Source organism: Homo sapiens, chromosome 17, assembly GCF_000001405.40.
Source record: "Homo sapiens chromosome 17, GRCh38.p14 Primary Assembly".
Lineage (NCBI taxonomy): Eukaryota > Metazoa > Chordata > Mammalia > Primates > Hominidae > Homo > Homo sapiens.
The window spans coordinates 7,884,796-7,912,771 of NC_000017.11; the positions used below are offsets into that span (position 1 = coordinate 7,884,796).

Genomic DNA, 27,976 nt, shown 5'->3' on the forward strand with positions numbered 1-27,976 from the left:
AGAGCCACAGGATGGCTTCCCCTCTGAGGGACGAGGAGGAGGAGGAGGAGGAGATGGTGGTGTCGGAGGAGGAAGAAGAGGAGGAAGAAGAGGGCGACGAGGAGGAGGAGGAGGAGGTGGAGGCGGCCGACGAGGACGATGAGGAGGACGACGACGAGGGAGTACTCGGGCGCGGGCCGGGCCACGACCGGGGCCGCGACCGCCACAGCCCCCCCGGCTGCCACCTCTTCCCGCCGCCGCCGCCGCCGCCGCCACCGCTGCCCCCGCCGCCGCCGCCCCCGCCGCCAGGTAAGCGCCCGCCCCGACTCCCCCCCCAAGCCCGAGTGGGAGCCGCGGGCGCGCGAAGCCGGGCGGGGGCGAGGCACCCACCGCGCGGCCGAGCCGAGGCGAATCCGGAGCGCGAATCCGGGGCTCGGGCCCGTGGCCCCGCGGCGGTCCGGGAGGTCGGGGCGGGCGGTGGCGGCTGCGACCGCGGGGCCAGGCCTCCTCCCCTCCCCCGCCGCACCCCTCCCCCGCCGCCGCCGCCGCCGCCGCCGCCGCCGCCGCCGCCACCCCGGCTGGAGAGCGCTGGGCGCGAGCTGCGCGCGCGGACCGGGCCACTCGGTCGCGGCTTTCGGGGGAGGAGGAGGAGGAGGTTTTTTTTTTACCCTCGGCGGGGAGGGGGTAGGCAGGAAACGGCCAAGGCGAAGCCAGGGCCCCCTCCCTGGCCGAGCGAGGGACCGCCGAGACCCTGGCGGCCGGACGGCGGCGTGGGGGAGGGGCACGTGGGGGAGGGGCGGCCGCGCGAGCGCCCCTCGGGCTCTGGCCCCGGTGGGGTTGGACCGAGGGAGAGTGGGGTTTCCCCGCACGGAGCAGCCGACGGGCCTGCCCCCTCCGCTCAGGACTTGGACAGGCAGAGTGGGGACGGTGTCCATCGGACCCCCCTCCACCCGCGGAGACTTAGGTGCCCGCCAACTGAGGGGCATGCGGTGGCACGCGAGGGAGGGGTCTTGTGAATGTTTGTGGGCTGCTGATGAGTAGGGGCAGGTGGTGGCCACAGTCCACGCAGACCACTTCCTGGAATAAGGCAGGAGCTCGTCCCCTCGCTCCCCCAGCCTGTGCAGGGACAGCAGTCCATTCGGATTGGGGAGCGGAGAGAAGAGTGTCTGGGGAACCAGATACCCCCGGCTCCACCCCCTTCATCTCGCCGGGGCTCTGGGCTCTTTTGTGTCAAGTGCGGTGGGGGGGGTCCCCCTCTTGACCCCGTCAGTCTGGGGTGGCCAAGCTGCCCAGCTGTGACTCTCACGTGGCTGCCATTCACTGTCACTCACTCTCTCGCTGAAACCACCCACTCCCTGAGCACGTTGGGGGGCGTGAACTGCCCACCCAGCTGTTCTGCAGCTTGACCATCACTCAGCACCCGTCCCCCGAGGTGACAAGTCACCCGGCGGCACTCTCTGGGCGGCGCTCTCCAGACCGCTGCGCCGCGTCAGGCGCCCAGCGGTGTCCCCCTCAGACCACCCTCCTAGTGGAGTGATTTCTAGTCTTCTTTGGGATAGGTGAGCATCTGGGTGTCCACACCCCCTGCTTGGGGAACAGCAGGGGGACCTCCGCACCCCCGGGCCTCTGGCTGCCATGCGGCACAAATGCACCAAACTTCAAAACGGCCAACTCCGGGCTCTTTGTAAAACTGTCATATTGATCCGTGTGGCTTCTGTGGCAAACGTTCCTGTCTAGCCGAGACGACCTTTGGGGGAGCGGGGGGTGCTTTCTTGTGGGTCGGGGAGGGATGTGTGTCTCCTGGAAACTGGATAAAGTCTCCCCGCCCCCCAAGCTTGTCTGAAAAAGGGTAAAGTTTTGAAAAAGTTCTCCCAGAGAGCCCCCTGCCTTGGCAGGAGGAGGAGGAATGAGGAGTTGTGGGGAGAGGGTGCCTTTGGGGTTGCCTCCGGCAGAGGCGCTGAAAAGAGGGAAAGAAAGGCCGTCAGGTCCTGCCAGGGGCTTGGCAGCGCTCACCTATTTGTATTGGGACTTGGAGTCTGGGGTGGGGTGGTGTGGGTCCCGGATCTGGGTACGTTGGGGAGAGAAGCGTGAAAGGATCCGAGGTTGAGATGGGTCTTTGTGTCAACCCGGCCTCCCCTTTCCCTCTTGGCTTTCTGAATAGACCAGAAGAGACGTCAGAGGCTGCTTACATTTTACAACTGAAATGAAAACCCACCTCCCCTCTCCCCCTGGGCAATTTTTATCTCCCTTTCAGCCCTCCAAGTCGAATGAGTGACCCAGATACACCCCCTCAGATGACTTTCGGAGGTAAAACTTCGGGAAATTATTTTTAGCACACTCATTATTTCTGTCTACCTAAGTGTGGGGAAAAGAACCCTCCTCTAAGGAAATTTGTTCAGGCTGCCCTCGCTCTTCCTTGTCTAGAGTATGCATTTGTGCACAGGAGAGATTTCCATTGTTTTCCATTCCGACTGCTTTGATTCTCACCATTTTGTTTTACATTCTTACTCAAGACCAATTTTATCCCTTCCCCCTCTCTCCAGTCTCCTTACATTGTTAAACGTTTAAAATAATAGCAGTCGTGTTGGTGGGGGAAGGGAGCAGGAAGCCAAAAACTCATTTCTTCTCCCTCCCCCTTCTGGCAAGTCGAGAGAAATAATATAACATAATATATAGATGTGATTCCTTGGGGGTGGGGGTGGGGAATGATTGTGGGTGGTGCGGAAAATTCTGGTAGTTTCTTTGCAAAAGGTCTGAAAATACAAACCCACCCCCTGCCTGCAGTACGCATGTGCAGCAGACCTATTATGGTGGTGCGTTGTGGGGGAGGGAGGGGAATTTGAGAAAAAATAAATATATGTGTGAGAGATTGATGGTGAGATTAGAAGAAGAGAGGGGCGGGCGGGAGGCGAGGCTTCGGCCGAGACTCCTCCCGCTTGCTCGGGCGGCCAGGCTCCGCCCTGCGCCCTCCGGCCCCCGCCTCTCTCCTCCCTGCCTCCCTGAGATCCGAGCCGGGGATGTGGGAGAGTCTGGGCTCCAGGCCAGCATTGAGTGGCTGCTGAGACCGAGGTTGGGACTTAGATTTGCTTTATTACCCTTCCTTGCTTTTCCTTGCCGTTCTCGCTTTGCCTCTCCCGCCACCGACGCCTGCCCAAGTTCGGGAACCTCCCGCTGGGGTGGGGAGTAGAGTGAACCGGCTTGTGCACCACCCCTGGCTGGTGGTGGCCGAGGCCGTGTCCCTGAACCTTAGCCAGTTGGCCTGCCCTTGCCACTGCCTCGGCAGCCTGCGTTTCCATGTTCAAGTCAACCGAAGTCCCTGGGGCCAGGGGGAGCCGGCTGCTGGGGCATGGCGCCTTCCTTGCTGACTTCCTATTACAGTCCCCATTCCGTTTCACACCCGGGCTCTGGCAGCCACCCCCCTGCACACACGCACACAGTCCTAGAGTGTCTTCCTGCACAAGGGGACACAGGATGCTGGAGTTAGCAGGAAAGGTGGCACTGAAGGAAGGCGAGGCAGCGACTCTGAGGCAGTGGAAACGGAGGCCTCTGGTGTTAATTGTGGCTAATTTTCCGTTGGCTGTTGAGGGAAGGAGAAAGGATTGTGTGTCCTAGAGCTAGGGGCTGGGCCAAGCCCAGGCTTTCCCATCTTGCATCGGCTGCCTCTCTCTGTACTAGACAGGTCTGGCTGGTTAGTCTAGTGCTTGGTAGGGGAGGGACGTGAACCAGAGCCCCAGGGCCCCAGGTCTGTGGGGCATCCTGTCTTCCTTTATGTGGGGTAACTCTCCGTTCCGTTCCCCAAGCCTTCACAGAGTGACACCTTCACAGATAATGGGGTGGGGGGCCTGGGGTCCTCTGGCAGAGACATCTGGGGAGAAAGCCAGGGACCTATCCCTGCTGAAGCAGGTACAGGCCATCCTCTGGATTTGTGGGCCTGAGAGTGTGTGTGGGTGTGGGTGCGCGCGTGCGCGCGCGTGCTTTTGAGAAGGCATATGCTGGGTGTGTCTGTCTGTGCCTATATCTTTGTTTGGGTCTCCCATACTGCGTATAGATGAATGGGTCAGGATATCTGGAACAAAATATGGAGGTGAAGGGTGAGATCGGGAAACAAAGGGTATGGCCCCCTAGTTCCCAAAGGGAGCAGGGAGATGGGAATAGAATTGAAGGTAGGTTTTAGGCTACTTGGGAGGAGGAATATTTAGGTAATTGTGGAGACTTTCTCCTGTGTGATGAAGGCGGCAGACACTGTGATCCTGTGGGCAAGAAGTAAAAATGACCAGCTGAGGATTTCTTTTCCTCCAGGACTGTGTTGGGGTGACAGGATGCCTGGTAATTATCCGAGGAAATGTAAATAGAGGCCTCCCTCTTGGCAAAAGGATGTCAGGGCCCCAGGGTGTTAGTGTGAGAACCCAGGTGTCCACCTTTGGCTCTCCCTCCCCAGCATCTGGCTTAGGGAGCTGCCAGCTTGTGTCTCCCCACTCCAAGTGCTGGGGTCAGGCCAGGCCAGCAGCTGGGCATGGCTTCCCCAGTTCCTGGGCAGGATGCCAGCTGGCGAAGTGAGGGGGAAGGCAGGAGGAGCCCTGGCGGTGACTGAAAGGACCTGCCACAGTCAGAGCCCATGGCCTGGAGCCTGGTCTCTTGTTAGTAGGAGGGGAGGGAGGGGAGTGGTTTGGCTGCTCTTCTCTTCTGACCCCTGACCTCCCATTCAGAACCAGAGCATCCCAGAGTACTCGAAACACTTTCTGTTTGCATCCAGTGAAGGGAGGCAGGGCTTGGAGGAGTTAATGCTTCCTAGAGAGTGGGAACTGCCGAGGTGGGGAAGGGGCAAGTTGAGGGGCCTCAGAGGCTGGAAACCTAGAGGCTTAGGTTTTCTGATGCTTTTTGCTTCAAAGATAAGGATGACATTCGGCTGCTGCCGTCAGCATTGGGTGTGAAGAAGAGAAAACGAGGACCCAAGAAGCAGAAGGAGAACAAGCCAGGAAAACCCCGAAAACGCAAGAAGCGTGTAAGTGTCAAGAATTCCTAACTCTGTGGCAAGGCTCAAGAGACCCATTCTCAGAGACCTACATTTTCTCTGGTCCTGATTACTGGTGTGGGGGTGGGGTTCTGAAGCCAGGGAGGCTTGATCCCCCGGGCCCCCCACTTCCCTGCCACTGTTGGCCTGTATCTCAGGGATCTGGGACCCTAACTTCATTCACTGCAACCTAGTGAAGAGCCTCGTTGTCAGTGTGTCCTCAGCAGCAAAGAGAAGCAGTTGAAAGCACAAGCTCTGGAAGACTGTATGAATTCAAGAGTCCAGCATTCCTCTGTCTAGGATACCAGGCCGTTTATTTGGCTCTCTGTGCCTTAGTTTCCTCATCTGTAAAAAGTAGATAAAGGCCGGTTGCAGTGGCTCACGCCTGTAATCCCAGCACTTTGGGAGGCTGAGCCGGGTAGATCATTTGAGGTCAGGAGTTCGCGACAAGCCTGGCCAATGTGGTGAAACTCCGTCTCTACTAAAAATACAAAAATCAGCCGGGCGCGGTGGTACGTCTGTAATCCCAGCTACACAGGAGGCTGAGGCAGGAGAATCGCTTGAACCCGGGAGGTGGAGGTTGCAGTGAGCCGAGATCACGTCAGTGCACTCCAGCATGGGTGACAGAGCAAGACTCCATCTCCAAAAAAAAAAAGGAGATAAAAAATTAGTTACTATCACAGGATTGTTGTGAAGATTAAAAGAGGTAAGATATGGTATGTGCTGAGAACAGTTTCTGGCAATGGTAGGGATGAATAAATGTTATTTTTATTTCTTTCTCTTAGGACAGTGAGGAGGAATTTGGTTCTGAGCGAGATGAGTACCGGGAGAAGTCAGAGAGTGGGGGCAGTGAATATGGAACCGGACCGGGTCGGAAACGAAGAAGGAAGCACCGAGAAAAAAAGGAGAAGAAGACAAAGCGGCGGAAAAAGGGGGAGGGAGATGGGGGGCAAAAGGTGAGTAGAATTAGGGAATGAGAGTGAGAAATCTGCATTAAAGACGGGCATGAGGAGGGGAGGAATGGAGACTGGACTGGAGAATGGGGCAAGAAGCAAGAAAGCCCAGGGAAGCTAGTGGGTAGGTAGACAGGCCTGTGTGCGGCCTGGAATAGGGGCTGGAGGAGCACCTACTTCACCAAAGCCCCTCTCCCGCAGCAAGTGGAACAGAAGTCATCAGCAACTCTGCTTCTGACCTGGGGCCTGGAGGATGTGGAGCATGTGTTCTCTGAGGAGGATTACCACACGCTCACCAACTACAAAGCCTTCAGCCAGTTCATGAGGTGCGGTAAGACTGGGGAATCCTCGCTAATTGACACTTTTAATTTGAGGGAGGTCCTGGACCCCTTGGAATCTGATGAAAGCTATGAAACTGCTCTCCAGAGAATTCACGGTGTATACACACCAAATTCTACACGTCATTTCAGGGAACTCCTAGACTCATAAGGATCCAAGAACCCCAGTTGAGAACTCTTCACTGAGGGGCGAGGGGTGGAGGGGCCATCATGATTCCAGTGCTGGGTTAGAGAACTCTTTAGCAACAGAATAAAGTGAGGACAGAATATAGTGAGCCCTCCCCTGCCCCAACAGCTCCATCTTCTGCTCTGTGACTTCTCTCTAGACTGGACCTGAGAGATACCATCAGTGTTCCTGAACTTCCTTAGCTCACTTAGCAGGTCCTGTGCCCCTTCCTTAGGCCCTGGTAATAATGGAGGGTCCACTGCTGGCAGTGGGACCTGAGCTTCAGTGGCTCCTGAAGAAAAGTAGAGAATAGTAGAGTAGAAAATAGCAGAGATGGGCCAGGTGCAGTGGCTCATGCCTGTAATCCAAGCACTTTGGGAGGCCAAGGCAGGTGGATCGCCTGAGGTCAGGAGTTCAGGACCAGCCCATCCAACATGGTGAAACCCCGTCTCTACTAAATACAAAAAAATTAGCTGGGCGTGGTGGCACATGCCTGTAATCCCAGCTACTCGGGAGGCTAAGGCAGGAGAATCGCTTGAACCCGGGAGGCAAAGGTTGTAGTGAGCCGAGATCACACCACTGCTATGCTCTAGCCTGGGCAACAAGCGAAACTCCGTCTCAAAAAAAAAAAAAGAAAAAATAGTGCCGATGTATTTTGTTTTGGGGAGAAGGCACTTTAACATATCAGTTCAGTGCTCTGGAGGCAGCTGCTGAGGTTCACATCTGGTTACATTTTGGGCAAGTGACTGAACTTCTTCAATCCTCAATTTCCTCTTCTATAAACGGGGAATAATAATATATACCTCATAGGAATCTGTGTGGGTTTGGTGGGATAATGAATGGAAAGCACAGTACCGTCAGTGCCTGGCTCCTAGGGAGCATTCAGTAACTGGTGACTGTCATTAGTAACGTTGTCTCACCTACCTTACTGCTGAACTTGGGGCTTTTCTCAGCACCATGGATCACCCGTGTCCGCACAAGAGTTGAGCACCCCACCCCAGAGCAGAACCAGCATGGTCTGACTCTTTCACACTCCGTCCTACGGAAGCCCATCTTCAGGGCCCATGGAACTTACTAGTAAAATGCAGAGAATCATAGCAACTCAAGAGTATTATTGTGAGGACAAGATAAGGTGGAATGTATGTGAAAGGGTTTTATGAACTGTAAAGTAGTATACAAAAGTAAAGCATTTTTGTTGATTTTATTTTAACCTTTTATGCTTTTAAGTTTTATTTCGCTGTTTTTTATTTCCCCTTTTTTTTTTTTTTTTTTTGAGATGGAATCTCACTCTGTCGCCAGGCTGGAGTGTAGTGGCGCAATCTTGGCTCACTGCAACCTCTGCCTCCCAGGTTCAAGCAATTTTTCTGCCTCAGCCTCCCGAGTAGCTGAGACTACAGGTGCGCACCACTACACCCAGCTAATTTTTGTATTTTTAGTAGAGACGGGGTTTCGCCATGTTGGCCAGGATGGTCTCCATCTCTTGACCTCGTGATCCTCCCACCTTGGCCTCCCAAAGTACTGGGATTACAGGCGTGAGCCACTGCGCCCAGCCTATTTCCCTTTTTTTAAAGACAGGGTCTCATTCTGTCACCCAGGCTGCACTGCAGTGGTGTGATCATAGCTCACTATATCCTCCAACTCCTGGGCTCAAGCCACCCTCCTGCCTCAGCCTCAGGTGCTGCCACACCCAGCTAATTATTTTTTTTTATTTTAATTTTTTGTAGAGACAGGATCTCACTTTGTTGCCCAGGCTTATCTCATAGCCCTGGGCTCAAGCAATCCTCCTGCTTCAGCCTGGAATTACAGGCATGAGCCACCGTGCCTGGCCTGTATTTCTTTTTTAATGCTTTTTTAAACCTGTTCTTTCCCCGCTTTTTTTAAACTTCTTTTTATTTATTTTTTTAAATGGCTGTTTTTCCTAATAGGACATATTCTCACCACCCAGGAATCCTAGCATGTACATAGATTTAATTGATGAGGGGAGATGGCAGTGTTCCCAGACCATCTGTGAAGGGTCCGAGTTTTCTGCTTCTATATTTACAGGCCCCTAATTGCTAAGAAGAATCCTAAGATCCCAATGTCTAAGATGATGACCATCCTTGGGGCCAAATGGAGAGAGTTCAGTGCCAACAACCCCTTCAAGGGGTCAGCAGCTGCTGTGGCGGCGGCAGCGGCAGCAGCAGCAGCAGCTGTAGCTGAGCAGGTGTCAGCTGCTGTCTCGTCGGCCACCCCCATAGCACCCTCCGGACCCCCCGCCCTTCCACCACCCCCTGCTGCTGATATCCAGCCCCCACCCATCCGAAGAGCCAAAACCAAAGAGGGCAAAGGTAGGGAACTCTCTTCCAACAACTGTCATCTCACCTTCCAAACTGCATGTCTTCACATTAGAGTCTGGAACTCTCGCCTTCCCAGCCCTGATTGCTGGAGGAGAGATGCTTTCCAGGAAGTGGGGCTTAGTGAAACCACAGCCCACAGAGGAATCCAGAGGCCCCTGTGACCTCCATAATTCCAGGATGTCATGACCTCTCCTTTTTCCTCTTCTCACCCCGACTCCTCATTCAGGTCCAGGCCATAAGAGGCGGAGTAAGAGCCCCCGAGTGCCTGATGGACGCAAGAAGCTTCGGGGAAAGAAAATGGCACCACTCAAAATAAAACTAGGGCTTCTGGGTGGCAAGAGGAAGAAAGGAGGCTCGGTGAGTGACCCGTCCCTGTCTACTAAACACCTGGGGGCCAAGGATCCAGAGACAGGGATCCGTGAGGGCCAAGGATCCAGAGACAGGGATCCGTGAGGGATGGCGGAACAGGAAGCCAAAGGCCTGGGGAGGGCGTAGAATGAAGTCTGCCTCACTGACGGCCACGGGGCTATGGGCAGTATGTTTTTCAGAGCGACGAAGGTCCTGAACCAGAGGCTGAGGAATCAGACCTGGACAGTGGCAGTGTCCACAGTGCCTCAGGCCGGCCTGATGGCCCTGTCCGCACCAAGAAACTAAAGAGAGGCCGGCCAGGAAGGAAGAAGAAGAAGGGTAAGGAGTGTTGACTGTGTGTGATCCTGTCAGTGGGCCGTCCTCTCATTCTTATTTTCAATTTTGACTTCTCTCTTCAACCCTTCTCCCTCTCTCTCTCCATCTCCCCCTGCCCTGCTTCCTTATCCCTCCACCGGGGTATATGACAGTCCTGGGCTGTCCTGCAGTGGCCGGGGAGGAGGAGGTTGATGGCTACGAGACGGATCACCAGGATTACTGTGAGGTGTGCCAGCAGGGTGGGGAAATTATTCTGTGTGACACCTGCCCTCGTGCCTACCACCTCGTCTGCCTTGATCCTGAGCTTGACCGGGCTCCAGAGGGCAAATGGAGCTGCCCTCACTGTGTGAGTACCTAATGCCAGCATCTGATGGCCCTGAGGAACCCACCCATCTCTTTCCCCCTTGGTTTCACTTACCCTCTTCCTGCCCCCAGATGGCTGGACTTCTTAGTAACAGATGTCCGAGTGTCTAGGATCCTAATGTATTCCTTTCTCCCACAATCAACATTTCTGAAACTGGAGTGTCCTTTTCCTTAGTTCCCACCAGTCTTCTCTGCACTTCTAGGATTCAGGTGTCCTGTCTTTGCCTGTATCTTCCAGTTTCATTCCTTAATTTCTTCCATCTGTCTGTGTGTCTATCCTTGGCCCCCTAGGAGAAGGAGGGGGTCCAGTGGGAGGCCAAGGAGGAAGAAGAAGAATACGAAGAGGAGGGAGAGGAAGAAGGGGAGAAGGAGGAGGAGGATGATCACATGGAGTACTGCCGCGTATGCAAGGACGGCGGGGAGCTCCTGTGCTGTGACGCGTGCATCTCCTCCTACCACATTCATTGTCTAAACCCTCCCCTGCCTGACATTCCCAATGGTGAATGGCTGTGTCCCCGATGCACAGTGAGTGGAAACATCTCCCCTCTGTATTTACTGTCAGGCCTGATCCCTTCCCCCATCCCTGGGGCCCACATGTCCAGCTTTTCATTTCTCTGCACTCCCCCACCCTTGTGGGACCCCTATCTTCTCATCTAACAATGGGTTCTTTCTGCCTCTTTCTTTCCTCCTCCTTGTACGTGTCCATCCCAAAGTGCCCCGTGCTGAAGGGTCGAGTGCAGAAGATCCTACATTGGCGGTGGGGGGAGCCACCTGTAGCAGTGCCAGCCCCTCAACAGGCAGATGGAAATCCAGATGTCCCACCCCCCCGTCCTCTTCAAGGCAGATCAGAGCGAGAGTTCTTTGTCAAGTGGGTAGGACTATCCTACTGGCACTGCTCCTGGGCCAAGGAGCTTCAGGTACTAGGACCTTTTCTTTCCCTCTCCCCCATGACCTCATTTCCTGCCATCCTCTCCCTCTCTTACTCCTCTGTTTGTTGGGTTCCCATACTCTTTGTTTTCTCTCATTTCAGGCCTGTGGCCTTCATACCCTACTTGCTTAGTTTCCATATGTGGTTCTTTTGGTCTACAGTCCTCTTTCTCTCAGTCTCCGTTAGCTTCCTTCCCTCAGATATAGCATAGCCTTTCCTAACTTCATGTCCTTCCTTATCTGTCTTTTTCCATGTTTTATAATATTCCTGGCTGGGCATGGTGGCTCACACCTATAATCCTAGCACTTTGGGAGGCCAAGGCAGGAGGATTGCTTGAGACCAGCCTGGGCAACATAGTGAAACCCCATCTCTGTTTAAAAAAAAATTCTCGGCTGGGTGTGGTGGCTCACGCCTGTAATCCCAGTACTTTGGGAGGCCGAGGTGGGCGGATCACCTGAGGTCAGGAGATCGAGACTATCCTGGCTAACATGGTGAAACCCCATCTCTACTAAAAATACAAAAAAATTAGCTGGGCGTGGTGGCAGGCACCTGTAGTCCCAGCTACTCAGGAGGCTGAGACAGGAGAATGGCGTGAACCCGGGAGGCGGAGCTTGCAGTGAGCCAAGATCGTGTCCCTGCACTTCAGCCTGGGCGACAGAGCGACACTCTATCTCAAAAAAAAAAAAAAAAAAAAAAAAATTCTCAATGTTTCTAATCCCATTCCCTATCTCTTGCTTGTAAGAGCCCCACCCAGGCCTTGTCTTCTGAAACTGTTGCATCTGTTTCATTTTATTTATTCTCCGTCTTGGCTTTGACTCATTTATCTCTAATCCATCCTTTTTCTTTTTTTTTCTATTTTTTTTTTTTTTTAGATGGAGTTTCGCTCTTGTTGCCTAGGCTGGAGTGCAGTGGCACGATCTTGGCTTACTGCAACCTCTGCCTCCTGGGTTCAAGCGATTCTCCTGCCTCAGCCACTCAAGTAGCTGGGATTACAGGCATGCGCCACCACGCTTGGCTAATTTTGTATTTTTAGTAGAGACGGGGTTTCTCCATGTTGATCAGGCTGGTCTCGAACTCCCAACCTCAGGTGATCCACCTGCCTCTGCCTCCCAAAGTGCTGGGACGCGCCTGTTATTCTCTTATTGCCCCGGCTGGAGTGCAGTGGTGTGATCTTGGCTCGCTGCAACCTCCGCCTCATGCATTCAAGCGATTCTCCTGCCTCAGCCTCCTGAGTATCTGGGATTACAGGCGTGCGCCACCACACCTGGCTAATTTCTGTATTTTTAGTAGAGACGGGGTTTCGCCATGTTGGCCAGGCTGGTCTTGAACTCCTGACCTCAGGTGATCCACCCGCCTGAGCCTCCTAAAGCACTGGGATTACAGGCATGAGCCACCGTGCCTGGGCCAATCCATCCTTTTTCATAGCTCCCTTTCCCTGTCCCATTCCTCCTGCCGGCCTCTTCCCGGTTCCTTGTTGTCCTCTGTGAGTGTCAGGACTATCTCTTTCCCTTTTTTCTGTGCCCTGCTAGCTGGAAATCTTCCATTTGGTTATGTATCGAAACTACCAGCGGAAGAATGACATGGATGAGCCCCCACCCCTGGACTATGGCTCCGGCGAGGATGATGGGAAGAGCGACAAGCGTAAAGTGAAAGACCCGCACTATGCTGAGATGGAGGAGAAGTACTATCGTTTTGGCATCAAGCCAGAGTGGATGACCGTCCACCGCATCATCAACCACAGGTGAATCCTCGGTCCCTGGGAAGTCAGACCTGGTATATGACATTATTCTTACCATGGTGATGGCCCCATGTTAGTATTTGCTGATTAACCAGGTAATTGATCTAACCTTGATAACCTCTGCTGTAGCTCCAGCCTTTCTGGCCTTGTTTCCTCCAGGGGAACGGGAGAAAACAGGAGGAAAATCCGGCCAGGCAGTGCCTCTTTTGTCCTTTGCCTCCTGTCATCTCCAGTGGCATAAGACATAGCACATGAGTCTGGGGATGAGGGCATGAAAGCAAAACATGAGAGACATAATTCATCCAGACCAGTGTTTTGAATGTTTCTTCTTCATAGTACTTATTACTGCCTAAACTTAATGGTATGTATTTAGTTATTTCAATGCTGCCTTCCCCACGAGACTCTGAGTTCCATGAGGAAAATACTTAGTGATTAGGTGAACAAATGATAAGGAGGGATCTCCAGGAATGTTTTGTGATAGCTGATTTTTAGGATACCATCCTGAGAAGGTTAGGCTGCTAGGTCAACTATTCCAATCTCCCTTCCAGCAGCTCACTGTTGACGGTTGGGTGACAAATTTTGTGTGTTTGCTGATAATTGCGTTTCTCAGGCCTTCTTTCTGTTTGTGATCTGTGCAATATTTTCCTCCTGCTCCTCCCCATGGCCTCCTGCCCCACAGTGTGGATAAAAAGGGGAATTACCACTATCTAGTAAAATGGAGGGACTTACCATATGACCAGTCCACGTGGGAGGAAGATGAAATGAATATCCCTGAATACGAAGAACATAAGCAAAGCTACTGGAGACACCGGTGAGGGAATGAGCTTGTGGATTCAAGGGATTCTGACGATGAGGGCATGAAAGCCAAAACTCCAGCATAAAATGAGGGTACAGTAGGGCCTGATTCAACCTGGAGTTCAGGGCAATGGCCACCTGAGCTGGGTTGTTTGAGATAGGCTTGCTAAAGAGGTAGTGTAAGGAACAGAAACAAGATCTGGCTGAGTAGTGGAGAAGAGGATGTTCAAGAGTGGGGAGGGCTGGCTCTTGAGGTGAAATCCAAAGGGCAAGGGTAAAGAGCCTGGGAAAAAGGAAATATGGGAAAATCTAGGTCATGGACAGTGGGAAGTAGGTCTGGAATGGGTTCAGAAAAGAAAGCGTAGGACTCCCAAGGATGAGGCCTCATTCAGACCCACTCTTTTTCCAGAGAACTAATTATGGGGGAAGACCCTGCCCAGCCCCGCAAGTATAAGAAGAAGAAGAAGGAGCTACAGGGTGATGGGCCTCCCAGTTCTCCCACTAATGATGTGAGTCCTCTCAGTTGTCATTTCTTGTTTCTGGAGTGATGGTGATCGAAGATTTTCCAAGGGCTACTGATGGAACTTCCCAGAGATTCAGTAACCTCTGTGAACAGTAGCTCTTCCTTCAGCATCCAGTCTTGCCCCAAGAGTGGCTAAGAATTTTGGCCTGAAAGGGCAGGAGCCACTAGAGATAGCCCACTGGTGGCTCTGTCACCAGCTGGCCCTTCCCCATGGTGCTGCTGGATATTGTCTTAAGGAATGAGGGGGAGGGGCTGAAGACTAGATGTGAGAACTTTTGTAAACTCAGGCCATAGTAGAGGGAATTGTAATCCAACTTGGTATCCATGCCAGGGAGGAAGAGACTAAGACTGGAGGAGCCGCCGACTATTTCCTTGAGCTTTCTGACTTCTTGTCTCTATAGCCTACCGTGAAATATGAGACTCAGCCACGGTTTATCACAGCCACTGGAGGCACCCTGCACATGTATCAGTTGGAAGGGCTGAACTGGCTACGCTTCTCCTGGGCCCAGGGCACTGACACCATTCTAGCTGATGAGATGGGGCTAGGCAAGACCATACAAACCATCGTCTTCCTCTACTCACTCTACAAGGAGGTGCTGGATTCTAGGACCTTGAAGGGGACCGCCTGGACTGGGGAAGTGGGGAGGGGGAAGATAAAGGGGTGTAGCTGGCAGAGGACTAGGGTATACGGCCTCTAGCCTAGACTTATGCTGCCCCCATTCTTGACTCCCAGGGCCACACAAAAGGTCCCTTCCTGGTGAGTGCCCCACTCTCTACCATCATTAACTGGGAGCGGGAGTTCCAGATGTGGGCACCCAAATTCTATGTGGTGACATACACGGGTGACAAGGACAGCCGGGCCATCATTCGTGAGAATGAATTCTCCTTTGAGGACAATGCCATCAAAGGGGGCAAGAAAGCTTTTAAGATGAAGGTAAGACCCTCTACCTCATATCCTCTGAGACCCTCAAAGCTGTCACTTCTTTTTCTCAGCCAGGAATTCAGTTTCTCTATTCCCCTCCTCACCTTTCTCCTCTTCCTCCACCTGTCCTCCTGTCTCTGCACTACCATCCTAGAGATATGGCAGGTACTCCCAGGGGCATACATGGATCTGTCGGTACTGGAAATGTGGGCAGAGGTTTAGGAGCCATGGTCTGTAATCCCTGCTTGGAGAACAGAGTAATGGCTCCTGTTGGGAGCCACAGTCAGGACAAGGTGTCTGGTTCTGGAGGTGTAGGTGCATGGTTGTCAGGTGGCAGCTGAATGGGCAATAATTATGTTGGCAGAGGGAGGCACAGGTGAAGTTCCATGTTCTCCTGACATCGTATGAGCTGATCACCATTGATCAGGCAGCACTTGGTTCCATCCGCTGGGCCTGTCTTGTGGTAGATGAGGCCCATCGACTCAAGAACAACCAGTCCAAGGTGAGTGAGGTTTCCAGACCTAAAAAACTTGAAGTTGTGGACTTCCCACTTGCCTTGGTCCTAAAAAACAACAAAAATTCTGGGGATTTTCTGTAGTCTGGGAGGACGTCCAGGTTGGAAGAGGGAGAGGGCCAGAGATTTGGGGCCTCTGATCCTGAGTGAAATGGGAGCTGGGGCAGGGAAAGGCTGATGCTGTGGGTCGGTCACTTGTCACTAATAAGCCCATTTTCCTGCCTTGCCTTGCCCCATCTTTTAGTTTTTCAGGGTTCTCAATGGTTACAAGATAGATCATAAGTTGCTGCTGACAGGAACCCCATTGCAGAATAATCTGGAGGAGCTCTTCCATCTCCTGAACTTCCTCACCCCAGAGAGATTTAAGTAAGTGGTTCCCTAAGGGTAGTTGGCAGAGATGAGAGGTGGAGCAGATAAAATGAGCTGGTAGAGGATTAATCTGAGGTGGTAAGTCTGAGATCAGGGGCAAGGAACTTGCCGACCTGTTAATTTTCTTCTCTTCTGGCTCTTAGCAACTTGGAGGGCTTCCTGGAGGAGTTTGCTGACATATCCAAAGAGGACCAGATCAAGAAACTGCATGATTTGCTGGGGCCACACATGCTGCGGAGACTCAAGGCAGATGTCTTTAAGAACATGCCAGCCAAGACAGAGCTCATCGTTCGGGTGGAGCTAAGCCCCATGCAGAAGTAAGATGCAAGACGAGCTGCCTGGAGTAGGGCTTGGGGATTGATGGGAGCGTTCCAAGTGCAATATCATAATTGCTTCCTTTATTTATGTTTCTTTTACACCCCTTTCCTGGCCTTTAGGAAATACTACAAATACATCCTGACTCGAAATTTTGAGGCCTTGAATTCACGAGGTGGTGGGAACCAGGTGTCGCTGCTTAATATCATGATGGATCTTAAGAAGTGCTGCAACCATCCATACCTTTTTCCCGTGGCTGCTATGGTAGATACACAGAGCAGGGAGCTGATCGAACGCCCATTCTCAGAAAACATGGGTGGGGAGTAGTGGGGAGGTGGGTATTGAGCCACAGGGGTGGAGCTGGGCTGGAAGGCCACGGACTGGGTGTCTGAGAACAGGAGGAATTGGGAACATGTGGAAGCTGGATCCGGGCATCTGGCCTTCTAGGTGTGGCAAGAATATGGGGGCATGTTTCCAACTGACCCCCTCCTCCTCCTCTCTCCTCCCTTTTCAGGAGTCCCCCAAACTCCCCAGTGGGGCTTATGAGGGTGGGGCACTTATTAAGTCGTCTGGGAAGCTCATGCTGCTCCAGAAGATGCTGCGAAAGCTGAAGGAGCAAGGACACCGAGTGCTCATCTTCTCGCAGGTGACCTGTGCCCTTAGCTGTCTTTACATCTGCTTCCTCTTCCCTCTCCTCATCCTCCAGACTTTAATTTCTTACGGTCTTCCTGTGGCTGCTCTGGTGTGACAAATGAGGAGATTCCTCCTGTAAGAGTTTTTTTTTTTTTTTTTTTTTTTGAGACAGAGTTTCGCTCTTATTGCCCAGGCTGGAGTGCAGTGGCACGATCTCGGCTCACTGCAACCTCTGCTTCCTGGGTTCAAGTGATTCTCCTGCCTCAGCCTCCCAAGTAGCTGGGATTACAGGCGTGCACCACCATGCCTAGCTAATTTTTGTATTTTTAGTAGAGACGGGATTTCACCATGTTGGTCAGGATGGTCTCCATCACCTGACCTCAGGTGATCTGCCCGCCTCGGTCTCCCAAAGTGCTGGGATTACTGTATAGCAAGTTCATTCTTGGCCTCTGATGCCTGTTCTTAAGGTTGCTGGAAGTTGAGGTCCAGCTCTAGTTCCTTTTCAGCTGCATGAGGGAAGGGGGAGGGTGAGCCATCTGCCTCCTTAGGGACTGGTATTATTTCTTCATCTTATTGGCAGGTGAGGGTGAAGGGCACAGACCCTTTGGAAATGTGATGAAAGCTCTGGGTCTACTCACCAGAAAACTGCACATACAATGACACAATTTTGTACGGATTTTCAGGGGGTTCCTGGATTTCCCTGAAACCTTTTCATGGGTCTCAGAGAACCTCTGCCTTAGGAGAAACAATCTTAAATCAAGAGAGTGTGACAAGAGGGCCAGACGTGGTGGCTCACACCTGTAATCCCAGCACTTTGGGAGGCCGAGGCAGGAAGATCACTTGAGGTCAGGAGTTTCAAGACCAGCCTGGCCAACATGGTGAAACCCTGTCTCTACTTAAAATACAAAAATTAGCTGGGCGTGGTGGCGCACACCTGTAGTCCCAGCTACTAGGGAGGCTGAGGCGGTAGGATCACTTGAACCCAGGAGTGGAGGTTGCAGTGAGCAGAGATGGCACCACTGCACTCCAGCTAGGGCAACAGAATGAGACTCCATCTCAAAAAAAAATAAAAATAAATAAAAATAAGAAAAGAGAGTGTGACAAGAAGGTGGAATAATGAGGAGCTTAAGACAGGGCAGGGGTTCAGGTGTAAAGATTAGGGTTGAGTTTGTGTAAAGGAGTAGTTAGAATAAGCAAGCATCCCACCACCTCATTATTGCAGACTCCATCCTTTTCTCTTGCTCTAGATGACCAAAATGTTAGACTTGCTTGAGGACTTCTTAGACTATGAAGGCTACAAGTATGAGCGCATCGATGGTGGTATCACGGGTGCCCTGAGGCAGGAGGCCATCGATCGGTTTAATGGTGAGGGAGATACACTGGTCCCTGGTGGGTGTGGGAGGCCTGAGAAACCTGTGATAGGTCCCTGGGATGGGAGGGGGACTGGCTTGGGGGACATTGGAAACTTAGGCTTTGAGTTGGGGGCATGGTTGTTTGTCATCAGAGAACATCTAGGAGCAGGTGGACAGAACTACCGGGTACAAGAAAAACCTGATCCAACTCTCACCTCCTAGCTCCTGGGGCCCAACAATTCTGCTTCCTCCTGTCCACCCGAGCTGGGGGCCTGGGCATCAATCTGGCCACTGCTGACACTGTCATCATCTTTGATTCTGACTGGAACCCCCATAATGACATCCAGGTGGGAACTCGCATCCTAGAACCCCTGCACCATTTAGCAAGGAGATGTGGGTTCATGGAGGAGGGTGTCATGTTCCGGGGTCAGAAATAAATCTCTTCTGGGAGGAGAGAAGGCCCTTCTTCAGCAGCCTTCTTTCCTGAGGCAGCTCTATGGGCAGCTTCTCCCCGGCCACTCCCCTGACCCACCCGCCACTTTCTCTTGCCCCTGCAGGCCTTTAGCCGGGCTCATCGGATTGGCCAGGCCAACAAAGTGATGATTTACCGGTTTGTGACTCGCGCGTCAGTGGAAGAGCGAATCACACAAGTGGCCAAGAGAAAGATGATGCTGACACACCTGGTTGTGCGGCCTGGGCTGGGCTCCAAGGCAGGCTCCATGTCCAAGCAGGAGCTTGACGACATTCTCAAATTTGGCACTGAAGAGCTATTCAAGGATGAAAACGAGGGTGAGAACCTTTTCTGCAGCTCTGTGAAAGCAGGCCCCTGCTCTCTCAGGAGTACTTATCAGCCCCCTGGGGAGAGAAAAACAACTCTTCTCTGCAGCCTTTGAAGGAAGGAGAGCCTTCTTTTAGTAGCCCTTGGAGGAAGGTTGGCCTCTTTCTTTGCCTGTAGGGTTAAAACAAACAAAACAAAAACCTTTCAACATTGGCTCCCGGGGAAAAAGCCTTCTCTAGGGCTCCTGTGAAAAGGACGCAGAGTAGAAGCTTTCCCATCAGCCTTTCTAAACTTTGGAACCCAAAGTTCCCGTTTGTTTTCCCTCTCACCAGGGGAGAACAAGGAGGAGGACAGCAGTGTGATTCATTATGACAATGAGGCCATCGCTCGGCTGTTGGACCGGAACCAGGATGCAACTGAGGACACTGACGTGCAGAACATGAATGAGTATCTCAGCTCCTTCAAGGTGGCACAGTACGTCGTGCGGGAAGAAGACAAGGTGAGAGGCTTTGGGGGCCAGACATTATCTATCCCAGGCCATCTCCAAAAGGCAGTATCCTTTACTCAGCCTTGAAGTAGGAGGGTCTGTCCCCCTTAAAACAGTAGTGGACCTCAAACAACTTCTTCGTCTAATAGGTGAGACTGGACTTCAGAGAGAAACGTAGGCACAGACAGTACTGGTAAACACAGAAGGGTACCTTCTGAGACAGTGCAGGAGAAACACTGTCAGAGGGATTAGAGGAGAGATTTAGAAAACATGAGGAGAGCACATTGCAGGTAAGAGATGGCATGGAACATGCGCAATGTCCAGAAAATGTATGCAGAGCCACGAAGCTGCAGGAGTGGGGAGACCGGATTGGGCTGACGCAGCAGAGTAGGGATTTCCTTGCAGTGGAAGGATTAGCAAAGAAGGAGACCCCCAGTGTTCATTCATTCTGTTGCCCTTCAGATTGAGGAAATTGAGCGAGAGATCATCAAGCAGGAGGAGAATGTGGACCCTGACTACTGGGAGAAGCTGCTGAGGCATCACTATGAGCAACAGCAGGAAGACCTAGCCCGGAATCTAGGCAAGGGCAAGCGGGTTCGCAAGCAAGTTAACTACAATGATGCTGCTCAGGAAGACCAAGGTGAGGACTGCCCCAGATGCAGGCAGTAAAGGGGGGAAGTGATGATGAGTAGGGACTTGAAGGCTGGAGCTATTTAGAGGGAAAGAGAGAAGCCTAGAAGTCAGAGCCTTCCTCTGCTAAAAGGGAAAGACATAAGGTAGAGTCATTAGGAACTACCCAGAGGCCAGGTGGGTTTGCAGGAGATTTAAACTCTTCGGTGGTTGCACAGGCATCCTGTGGACACCCAGGGCCATTGCTTAGAGTAGGTTTTGCAGGAGAAGCAGAGGGGCCCAGAGACTGAAGGTGGGCGGTGAATGGAGATGGTGTAGGATATGCGGCTCCCAAGTCAGACTTTGGGCAGTGATCTGGTGTTCCCAGAAGGACCAAGGCCAGAATAAAGGTAGACAAGTCTCGGCAGGGAGGAATCCAGCCAGAAAGGGCCTCAGCATGGGCATATCCCGAGAGCCCTCCCTGACCACTGGGCCCTTTCCACCCCCACAGACAACCAGTCAGAGTACTCGGTGGGTTCAGAGGAGGAGGATGAAGACTTCGATGAACGTCCTGAAGGTGGCATCTGTGTTCCTGACTCTACCTCACCTCTTCCCGTTTTATTTTCCAGTTTGCTTTAAGCCCACTGTTTTTATACAAGTAAAAAAGTCTTCGTGTGTGTGTGGAAAAACTCGATTGCAGATGAGCAGAAAGGAAGAAATATTCATAGTCTCTCTGCTAGTAAACTTCGGTGTGTGTGACCACATAGGCTAGATCCAGAAAGGCCATATCATTTTCCATTCCCACTGGTAATCTGGGCCTTTGTCAGATATCAGCTGTTAATTTTAAAATATGACTGGTTCTTTTAGACTTAGTGGGTTAGTAGTTCTGAAGTGCTTGGGAGAGAATTGGGAGCACCTCAAACGTGACAGGAATGTTCCTGTGTTGTGTATCTTGTGGGAATGGGGTGCTAAGGAGGACTGAGGCTTAGAGGAGGTGGTGGCTCAGCTAACTGATGTCATCCCCACCCTCAGGGCGTAGACAGTCAAAGAGGCAGCTCCGGAATGAGAAAGATAAGCCACTGCCTCCACTGCTGGCCCGAGTCGGGGGCAACATTGAGGTGAGAGCTGGGCCCAGTGTTCCTGAGTTCTCCAAGAGGGCATGAGGGCAGGAGGTTGGAAGTTGGTGCCTGGATCACTGAAGGTAGAAAGGACAAGACCTAAGAACCCTAGACATTTGTCGCCATTGCCTCCTTGCTCCCACCCTCAGGTGCTGGGCTTCAACACCCGTCAGCGGAAGGCTTTCCTCAATGCTGTGATGCGCTGGGGGATGCCACCACAGGATGCCTTCACCACACAGTGGCTGGTGCGGGACCTGAGGGGCAAGACTGAGAAGGAGTTTAAGTGAGTGTGGGTGATACAGGGCTGAGTTGGACGCAAGGGGAAGAGCTTTGGGTGTTCCTTTCTTCCTTGGGGCCGCCATATGATGTGACCTTACTCAACTGATTATCACCCTCCCTGTCATACAATACTTCCTGGCTCGATTTCCTGGGGGGTGGTCTCAGCCCACTCCACCTCCCCTCAGCCGAGCCTAGAGTAGAGGGGCCAGGCATCCTCCCCAGGGGAGGGGCGTTGAAGCAAGGAGCCTCTCCTGGGCTGTCCTAGCCTCACATTTACTTGACCACAATAACCTGGCAGGAGGAGCTGGTGGAAAGGATGAAGAGCTGACTGATGGGGCCCAGGAATTAAGTACCAAGGCCAAAGGGAAAGACCCAGGGGTGGGGCGCAGGGGGACAGTTAGGACTTGGAGGGCTGGTAATGGTGAGAGTGAGAGGCCCAGGGGAGGAGCCCTGGAGCACCTGGGGATTTGGGGGTTTGGGGGTCCTCAGTCATCCTCGCGCCTCCCTCACTGCCCTATACCCCTTCTGTGGCTCCCCTAACCCTCCTCCCACTCCCATGCTCCTTAGGGCCTATGTGTCTTTGTTCATGCGCCATCTGTGTGAGCCTGGGGCAGACGGCTCTGAAACCTTTGCCGATGGGGTCCCTCGGGAGGGACTGAGTCGCCAGCAGGTGTTGACCCGCATTGGAGTCATGTCTCTCGTCAAAAAGAAGGTATCAGTCTTCCTGTCACCCAAAGAATCAAGCTGGCTGCCTAGTCTCTGTCCTTCCTCTGCCTCTGTCCCTGAGTTGTAAGCTTGCGCTGGTGTGAGACGGAGGAGACTGGAGCTTCCTGTCTGTAAGCGCCTGGAGCTGACACCTAACCCTCCCACCCTGCCACCCCAGGTGCAGGAGTTTGAGCACATCAATGGGCGTTGGTCAATGCCGGAACTGATGCCTGACCCCAGCGCCGATTCTAAGCGCTCCTCCAGAGCCTCCTCTCCTACCAAAACGTCTCCCACCACTCCTGAGGCTTCTGCTACCAACAGTCCCTGCACCTCTAAACCTGGTAATCAGAAGTCAGGATGGTGGGAGAGACAGAAAGGGAGCCAGGAGTCAGGGCGGGAGAATCTCTGTCTTTATCACTGTGCCTTCCCCTGCAGCTACTCCAGCTCCAAGTGAGAAAGGAGAAGGCATAAGGACACCTCTTGAGAAGGAGGAAGCTGAAAACCAGGAGGAAAAGCCAGAGAAGAACAGCAGAATTGGGGAGAAGATGGAGACAGAGGTGTGTGGCTCCCTGGATTCCCCTGTGGAGCGGGAGGGGAGGGGGCTTGGAGGCCAGGTACCTGGGAGCCCTCTGGCTCATCCTGACCCCATTGTCCTCTTCCAGGCTGATGCCCCCAGCCCAGCCCCATCACTTGGGGAGCGGCTGGAGCCAAGGAAGATTCCTCTAGAGGATGAGGTGCCAGGGGTGCCTGGAGAGATGGAGCCTGAACCTGGGTACCGTGGGGACAGAGAGAAGTCAGGTGGGTGCATGGCCTTAGGAGTGATGGGGGATTAGAATTTGGGATTTCCCTCTTCTGGGGTCAGGGGATGAGGGTAACATCCTCCCTTCCTATCCCCTACCCCCTCCCACAGCCACAGAGTCGACGCCAGGAGAAAGGGGGGAGGAGAAGCCGTTGGATGGACAGGAACACAGGGAGAGGCCGGAGGGGGAAACAGGGGATTTGGGCAAGAGAGGTAATGGGTGGAAGGGACCGGACACCTGGGTCCCAGAGGGCATCAGGGGAGGTGGAGTCTGGGGAACCGAATGCTTGGGTCCTGGGCGGGTAGCTGTTTGAAAGGCCAGTACAGTACAGTACAGATAGTAGTCTTGGGACCTGGGAGGAGGGTGTCCTGAGGTGTGAGCTTTGACCTGTCTGTCCTAGCAGAAGATGTAAAAGGTGACCGGGAGCTTCGACCAGGGCCTCGAGATGAGCCACGGTCCAATGGGCGACGAGAGGAAAAGACAGAGAAGCCCCGGTTCATGTTCAATATCGCCGATGGTGGCTTCACAGGTTGGGGAGACTCTCGCTGCTTTCTGCTCCTCAAGGGGATCTGCTCATCCTCATGGGGTTTCTCGTTTTGCCTGAGGCTTCCTGCTACCTTTAATTCCAAGTAACTTCCAATGAAGTATGTTGCATGCTGACTCCGATCCTTGCTCTAAATCTTTCTTAAGTATCCCTCTTAACTCCAAAGCTGGCCCTAATCCCACCTTTATTCTTAATTCTAACGAACCTGGTTAGAACTGAGTTTGTTCCAAACCTAACCTTTACCCATTCCTCTTCAGGAGCCCTTAGTTCCCTTTCATTATTCAGTTTCTCCATCTCTACCTGTCTGTTGGACTGAGTGCAGTCTGCAAAACCCTGTTACCTCTTCTGTCTGCTGCCTTCTTTGCAGAGCTTCACACACTGTGGCAGAATGAGGAACGGGCAGCTATTTCCTCGGGGAAACTCAATGAGATCTGGCACAGAAGACATGACTATTGGCTTCTGGCTGGGATTGTCCTGTATCCTTTGATACACATGCAAGAAGGAAAAGGTTCTCTCAAGCTGGCAAAAAAAAAAAAGATGATTTCACACCCAGGGACAGGGCTAGTGCCACACTTTGGGGAGTCAAGCCAAAAGGAAGAAGTGTTCAAAGCCAAGCCCATTCCTGTTAAATTCCTTGATGGTTCCTTTTCCTTCATTGGTAGCCATGGCTATGCACGGTGGCAGGACATCCAGAATGATGCTCAATTTGCCATTATCAACGAGCCATTTAAAACTGAAGCCAATAAGGGGAACTTTCTGGAGATGAAAAATAAGTTCCTGGCCCGGAGGTTCAAGGTGGGAATGAGGGAGGAAAGGAGCGGGTTATAGACGGGCTTGGGTCAGAAGTGAGACCAGATCTAGTTGGAACCTAGGGAAGGTTAACACCTTCAGGGCTGAGGTGATACCTGGGGCCAAGACCAAAGTGTAACCTTGTGCTTGGGAGTGTGATCTGGGTCAGGGTTGCTGCTAGGTTCGCAGTCGGTTTGGAGCTGGGAGTGCCCTGGGCCAGCAGTGAGGGCAGGGTGGGTCTCTTGCTATGTCCGCCCCCCCAGCCCCTCACCCACTGCTGGCAGAGCCCTACCTTCACCTCCCAACTCTGTGCCCTCAGCTCCTGGAGCAGGCGCTGGTGATTGAGGAGCAGCTGCGGCGGGCGGCCTACCTGAACCTGTCGCAGGAGCCGGCGCACCCCGCCATGGCCCTCCACGCCCGCTTCGCCGAGGCCGAGTGCCTGGCCGAGAGCCACCAGCACCTCTCCAAGGAGTCGCTGGCGGGGAACAAGCCGGCCAACGCCGTCCTGCACAAGGGTAAGGGCCGCGGCGGCCCCGCGCGGGGGAGGGCCCACAACGCTGCGTAAGTCTTCACCCCGCACCCCTCAAAATCTTCCCACCCCCTGACCCCTCTACCTGCTGAACCATCCCCCTCTGACCTCTAACCCCACTCCTACCGACCTGGCACCCCCTTGGATTTTAGCCTCTAGGACTTGTGCAAGCCAACCCTCATCCATGTCTGATAGCATTCACATCCGTGCCCAATAGAGGGACCTGCCCCAGCCTCTGTGTCCCCTCCACACAGTGGGGCCTCTTCACTGGCAGTGGAACTGCATGCCTGCCATACTGCTTAACATCATCCAGTTAGGGGCCTTGGACTGTGAATGCACCATACAGATCCCTGGCTGTGATCAAACAAATCACATTCCCTCACATGTGTTTCACCCCATAAGGCAGAAACTACCACCCATCCAACCCTCTGGCCTTACCCCATGAAACTTCCCTTTGACCTTCGACCTTTCCTCCTACCCCCTCTCACCTTGCCATTGATAGAGATTATATCCCAAAGCCCTCTAACCATCTAATCCTGCCTGGTGTAGTCACTGACTCCTGGCCCCTTTGATCCCTGTTCTAATTCCTTGAATCTGTAATACTGACCTTCTAACCTCCCTCTCCCCTTACATATTAAAACCGTGATTCCTTAAAGCTTTGACACTTACCACCTCCCATGCCTCCTGACTATTTCCTCCCCATCATCCCCAACCCCAAACCTTGCTCTTCCAGTATGAGATGTTCTGACAACTCCCCGCCCCCATGTCTTCCAATGTCCCCCCATCTTCCTTTCCTCCATGCTCCCTTTTTCTTTCTTCTTTCTCTCCATCTGTCTTCTGTGGTAATCTGGTCTCTCTGTCTCTTTTCCTGACACTTTTTCTTTTCCCCTGAGTTGCTTCTGTTTTCCATCTACTTCTTTTACTTTCTTGATCTCTGGTTCTTTGACATCTGTGTTCTCCTCTCTCGCTCTTTTTCTGCCTGTATCTGTCCATCTGATGCCTCTCTTTTCCTGGCTCCATCTCTGTATTTCCCTGTCTTTCTCTTGCCCTTCTTTCTCTGTGGCCCGGGCCCCAGTTCTGAACCAGCTGGAGGAGTTGCTGAGCGACATGAAGGCGGACGTGACCCGCCTGCCAGCCACGCTGTCCCGAATACCCCCCATCGCAGCCCGCCTTCAGATGTCCGAGCGCAGCATCCTCAGCCGGCTGGCCAGCAAGGGCACGGAGCCTCACCCCACACCGGTAACCCTCTTTCCCCCTAGCTCCAGTTTTCCCTGTTTGTGTTCCTCCTGCACACATACAAACACTTCCATCAGAATCCTATACAATATGGAAAAACAACTTGCTAGAACACAGTCATCACCCTTGAGTGAGTCTCCCTGCCTGTGTATCCTACCCTTAGCAGTTGTGGAGTGTGGCTCATAATGTCTCTCCTACAGCTTCTTTCCTCTCACAGACTATGAACTAACTCCAACTTCTGCTTCCTCTCTGTTCCAGGCCTACCCGCCGGGTCCCTACGCTACACCTCCGGGGTACGGGGCGGCCTTCAGCGCCGCACCCGTAGGGGCCCTGGCCGCCGCAGGCGCCAATTACAGCCAGATGCCTGCAGGGTCCTTCATCACAGGTCAGCTGGTGTTTTCCTACCCCCTGCTACTCACACTCCTCCTTTGCCAAACTTTATTTCTGCTCAGCTGCCCTTTAACTGCTCTAGTCCATCTCATTTCCTTGGTGGTATCCGGTGTTTTATGGGATAGAGTTGTTCTAGGCTGTCCCCCCACCCATCCCTTTCTTAACCCCTCTTCAGTCCCCTTTATTAAAAACCAGAGTTTTAGTAGATCTGTGGCTTGGTGTCTTCTACCCGAGCCACCTCCCTCCGGGTTCCTTCAAGGGAAAGTGAATATGAAACCCGAGGGGTTAGAGAGTGGGAACATGTGTTCAATCATGTAGCACAAAGTGGAATCTCAGGGAAAGGGGTTTGCCCGGGTCTTCCCTCCCTCACGTGGGACAACGGGAAGTGGCAGGAGGTGACCTAGAAGTGAGAATTCACCATTGTCATGAAGTGACGTTTGAGAGTGATCTGGAGATTGATCTTTCCTTACCCCTTTCCCAAACAGCCGCCACCAACGGCCCTCCAGTGCTTGTGAAGAAGGAGAAGGAAATGGTGGGGGCATTGGTGTCAGACGGGCTGGATCGGAAGGAGCCCCGAGCCGGGGAGGTGATCTGTATAGACGACTGACTGGATCCCAGGCCTGCCCTTCACCCAGGCCCCGTCCCCGAGGCCGACCCCCAGCTCAAGCGCTGGGGCCTGCTGCCAGCCCTCCACCTTCCCCACCCCTTGGGCCATCACTGGGCTAGGAACCCCTTTGCCCCTCTCTGCAGCTCCTCTCTTCAAGAAGGGCCCTTTGTCTTTCTCCACTCCCACACACCTTTCCCACCAAGCCTTGAAGACTGTGCTGGTGAGAAGAAGTCTGGGTGGGAGATGGCTGGCAGGGTCTTCCAAGTACCTTCCTCCCACACTGCCAAGTATACACAACTTCCCAGTAAATGGTTGTGGGGAGGAAAGAGGTGGAGCCTCCCCAGCCGTTTCCCTGCAGAATCAGCTCTGTCTCATGTGGAAGTGGAGAATCAGCCTTGCCTGGCCTTTAGGAACTTTTGTGGGGAAGAGAGCTTTGAAGAGAGGAGGGGGACTTTAGAGAGGGATGAAAATGAGCCCTGGGAGGGAGGAAGGGACGAGGAGGGGTGGCTGCATGTTACCGTCCCCTACCTCTCCCCACGTGGAGGGTGGAGCAGTTATGAGGGAGGAAGTCAACTGCTGTTCAGCCTCAGAATAAAGGTGCCGTTCACTGGCTCAGTTACCTCCTGTGTACCGGCATCTTGTGTTGGGAATGTTCCCCCCTCCCTAGGGACCAAGGACCACCCCTACAAAAAGAGTAATGGTTGGGTGATACTCCCTCAAGCCAAAGAGGAGCTCCCCAACCTGTTCTAGGGACCCAGGTAACCTAGAAGGGTGGGAGAGAATACAATGGGCCAGATGTGGTGGAAGCCCAGCTCTGGGGCTCAGGTTCCTGGAAGACTTCTACTACCCTCCCTCCTCAAGGCCTGGATACAGACTAAATTTGTATAAGTCAGGCAGGGGACCTAGTCAGGGTCTTGGGAGCTACCTTGTCGTTGGGACCAGAGCAAAATAGTGGAGGGCAGGCTAGGGAAATGTGGGCACATCCCCCCTCCCAGGAGGGGCCGGGGAGAGTGGCAGTTTGCATGGCGAACCCCCCACTTCCTCTTTGCTGCCCCTTCACTTTCTTGCTGCCCCTTTCCCAGTCTCTCTTCACACCCACTCCTGGTCTGTCCTGATCCCCTCTTCTGTATCAGGTTTATTGGTTGTACATATAAATTATACTTTCCTTTCTGTGTGCTCTGTTATT

At 53.2% G+C, this 27,976-nt stretch overlaps 2 protein-coding genes and 1 non-coding gene across 46 annotated transcripts in view, besides 7 other annotated features; 2 read left to right on the top strand and 1 right to left on the bottom strand.

Moving 5' to 3' along the window:
• Positions 1–625, bottom strand: part of NAA38 (N-alpha-acetyltransferase 38, NatC auxiliary subunit) — a 28,736-nt gene extending 28,111 nt beyond the window's left edge. Inside the window, exon 1 of the mRNA NM_001330111.2 lies at positions 370–625. The gene's annotated coding sequence lies outside the window, so the exon portion shown is untranslated. The remainder of the gene's footprint in view (positions 1–369) is intronic.
• CHD3 (chromodomain helicase DNA binding protein 3) lies at positions 1–27,960 on the top strand. Of its 44 annotated transcripts, none has more exons than XM_017024067.3 (42): positions 1,391–1,538; positions 2,141–2,286; positions 4,279–4,305; positions 4,869–4,981; positions 5,776–5,946; positions 6,145–6,269; positions 8,491–8,774; positions 9,010–9,140; positions 9,320–9,470; positions 9,620–9,813; positions 10,122–10,355; positions 10,544–10,747; positions 12,288–12,499; positions 13,176–13,307; positions 13,701–13,800; positions 14,216–14,407; positions 14,548–14,748; positions 15,101–15,238; positions 15,495–15,616; positions 15,763–15,936; positions 16,057–16,198; positions 16,449–16,580; positions 17,815–17,932; positions 18,142–18,266; positions 18,477–18,708; positions 19,030–19,196; positions 19,647–19,824; positions 20,305–20,370; positions 20,826–20,911; positions 21,061–21,194; positions 21,758–21,902; positions 22,074–22,236; positions 22,331–22,452; positions 22,558–22,693; positions 22,806–22,907; positions 23,096–23,224; positions 23,607–23,715; positions 23,902–24,034; positions 24,348–24,589; positions 25,633–25,796; positions 26,052–26,178; positions 26,669–27,960. In XM_017024067.3, exons 2-42 carry the CDS (start codon positions 2,247–2,249, stop codon positions 26,907–26,909), a joined length of 6,138 nt encoding a protein of 2,045 aa, XP_016879556.1. In that variant the 5' UTR covers positions 1,391–1,538; positions 2,141–2,246; the 3' UTR covers positions 26,910–27,960. The 44 variants fall into 44 exon arrangements, with proteins under 44 accessions (XP_005256484.1, XP_005256486.1, NP_001424433.1 ...); XM_047435197.1 differs by having other exon boundaries at positions 2,234–2,286; XM_047435210.1 differs by lacking the exons at positions 1,391–1,538; positions 4,279–4,305 and adding an exon at positions 547–634 and having other exon boundaries at positions 9,332–9,470; positions 24,348–24,543.
• Positions 727–806: a silencer, noted in NCBI's record as "silent region_8146". NCBI's record gives its function as "represses an Ori minimal core promoter by ATAC-STARR-seq in GM12878 lymphoblastoid cells {active_cell/tissue: GM12878}" and the evidence as "EXISTENCE:reporter gene assay evidence [ECO:0000049][PMID:35858748]".
• Positions 1,057–1,106: an enhancer, noted in NCBI's record as "active region_11653". NCBI's record gives its function as "activates an Ori minimal core promoter by ATAC-STARR-seq in GM12878 lymphoblastoid cells {active_cell/tissue: GM12878}" and the evidence as "EXISTENCE:reporter gene assay evidence [ECO:0000049][PMID:35858748]".
• Positions 2,857–3,016: a silencer, noted in NCBI's record as "silent region_8147". NCBI's record gives its function as "represses an Ori minimal core promoter by ATAC-STARR-seq in GM12878 lymphoblastoid cells {active_cell/tissue: GM12878}" and the evidence as "EXISTENCE:reporter gene assay evidence [ECO:0000049][PMID:35858748]".
• Positions 4,426–4,995: an enhancer, noted in NCBI's record as "H3K4me1 hESC enhancer chr17:7792539-7793108 (GRCh37/hg19 assembly coordinates)". NCBI's record gives its function as "activates a minimal SCP1, AML or CMV promoter by ChIP-STARR-seq in primed H9 embryonic stem cells {active_cell/tissue: H9 hESC(primed)}" and the evidence as "EXISTENCE:reporter gene assay evidence [ECO:0000049][PMID:30033119]".
• Positions 8,953–10,152: an enhancer, noted in NCBI's record as "CDK7 strongly-dependent group 2 enhancer chr17:7797066-7798265 (GRCh37/hg19 assembly coordinates)". NCBI's record gives its function as "activates an origin of replication core promoter dependent on BRD2, BRD4, P300/CBP, MED14 and CDK7 cofactors, with strong dependence on CDK7, by STARR-seq in HCT116 cells {active_cell/tissue: HCT116}" and the evidence as "EXISTENCE:reporter gene assay evidence [ECO:0000049][PMID:35650434]".
• Positions 17,896–18,503: an enhancer, noted in NCBI's record as "NANOG-H3K4me1 hESC enhancer chr17:7806009-7806616 (GRCh37/hg19 assembly coordinates)". NCBI's record gives its function as "activates a minimal SCP1, AML or CMV promoter by ChIP-STARR-seq in primed H9 embryonic stem cells {active_cell/tissue: H9 hESC(primed)}" and the evidence as "EXISTENCE:reporter gene assay evidence [ECO:0000049][PMID:30033119]".
• Positions 18,504–19,110: an enhancer, noted in NCBI's record as "NANOG-H3K4me1 hESC enhancer chr17:7806617-7807223 (GRCh37/hg19 assembly coordinates)". NCBI's record gives its function as "activates a minimal SCP1, AML or CMV promoter by ChIP-STARR-seq in naive and primed H9 embryonic stem cells {active_cell/tissue: H9 hESC(naive and primed)}" and the evidence as "EXISTENCE:reporter gene assay evidence [ECO:0000049][PMID:30033119]".
• Positions 21,328–21,465, top strand: SCARNA21 (small Cajal body-specific RNA 21). The gene has a single exon (NR_003000.1).
• Positions 27,961–27,976: the final 16 nt, after the last annotated feature.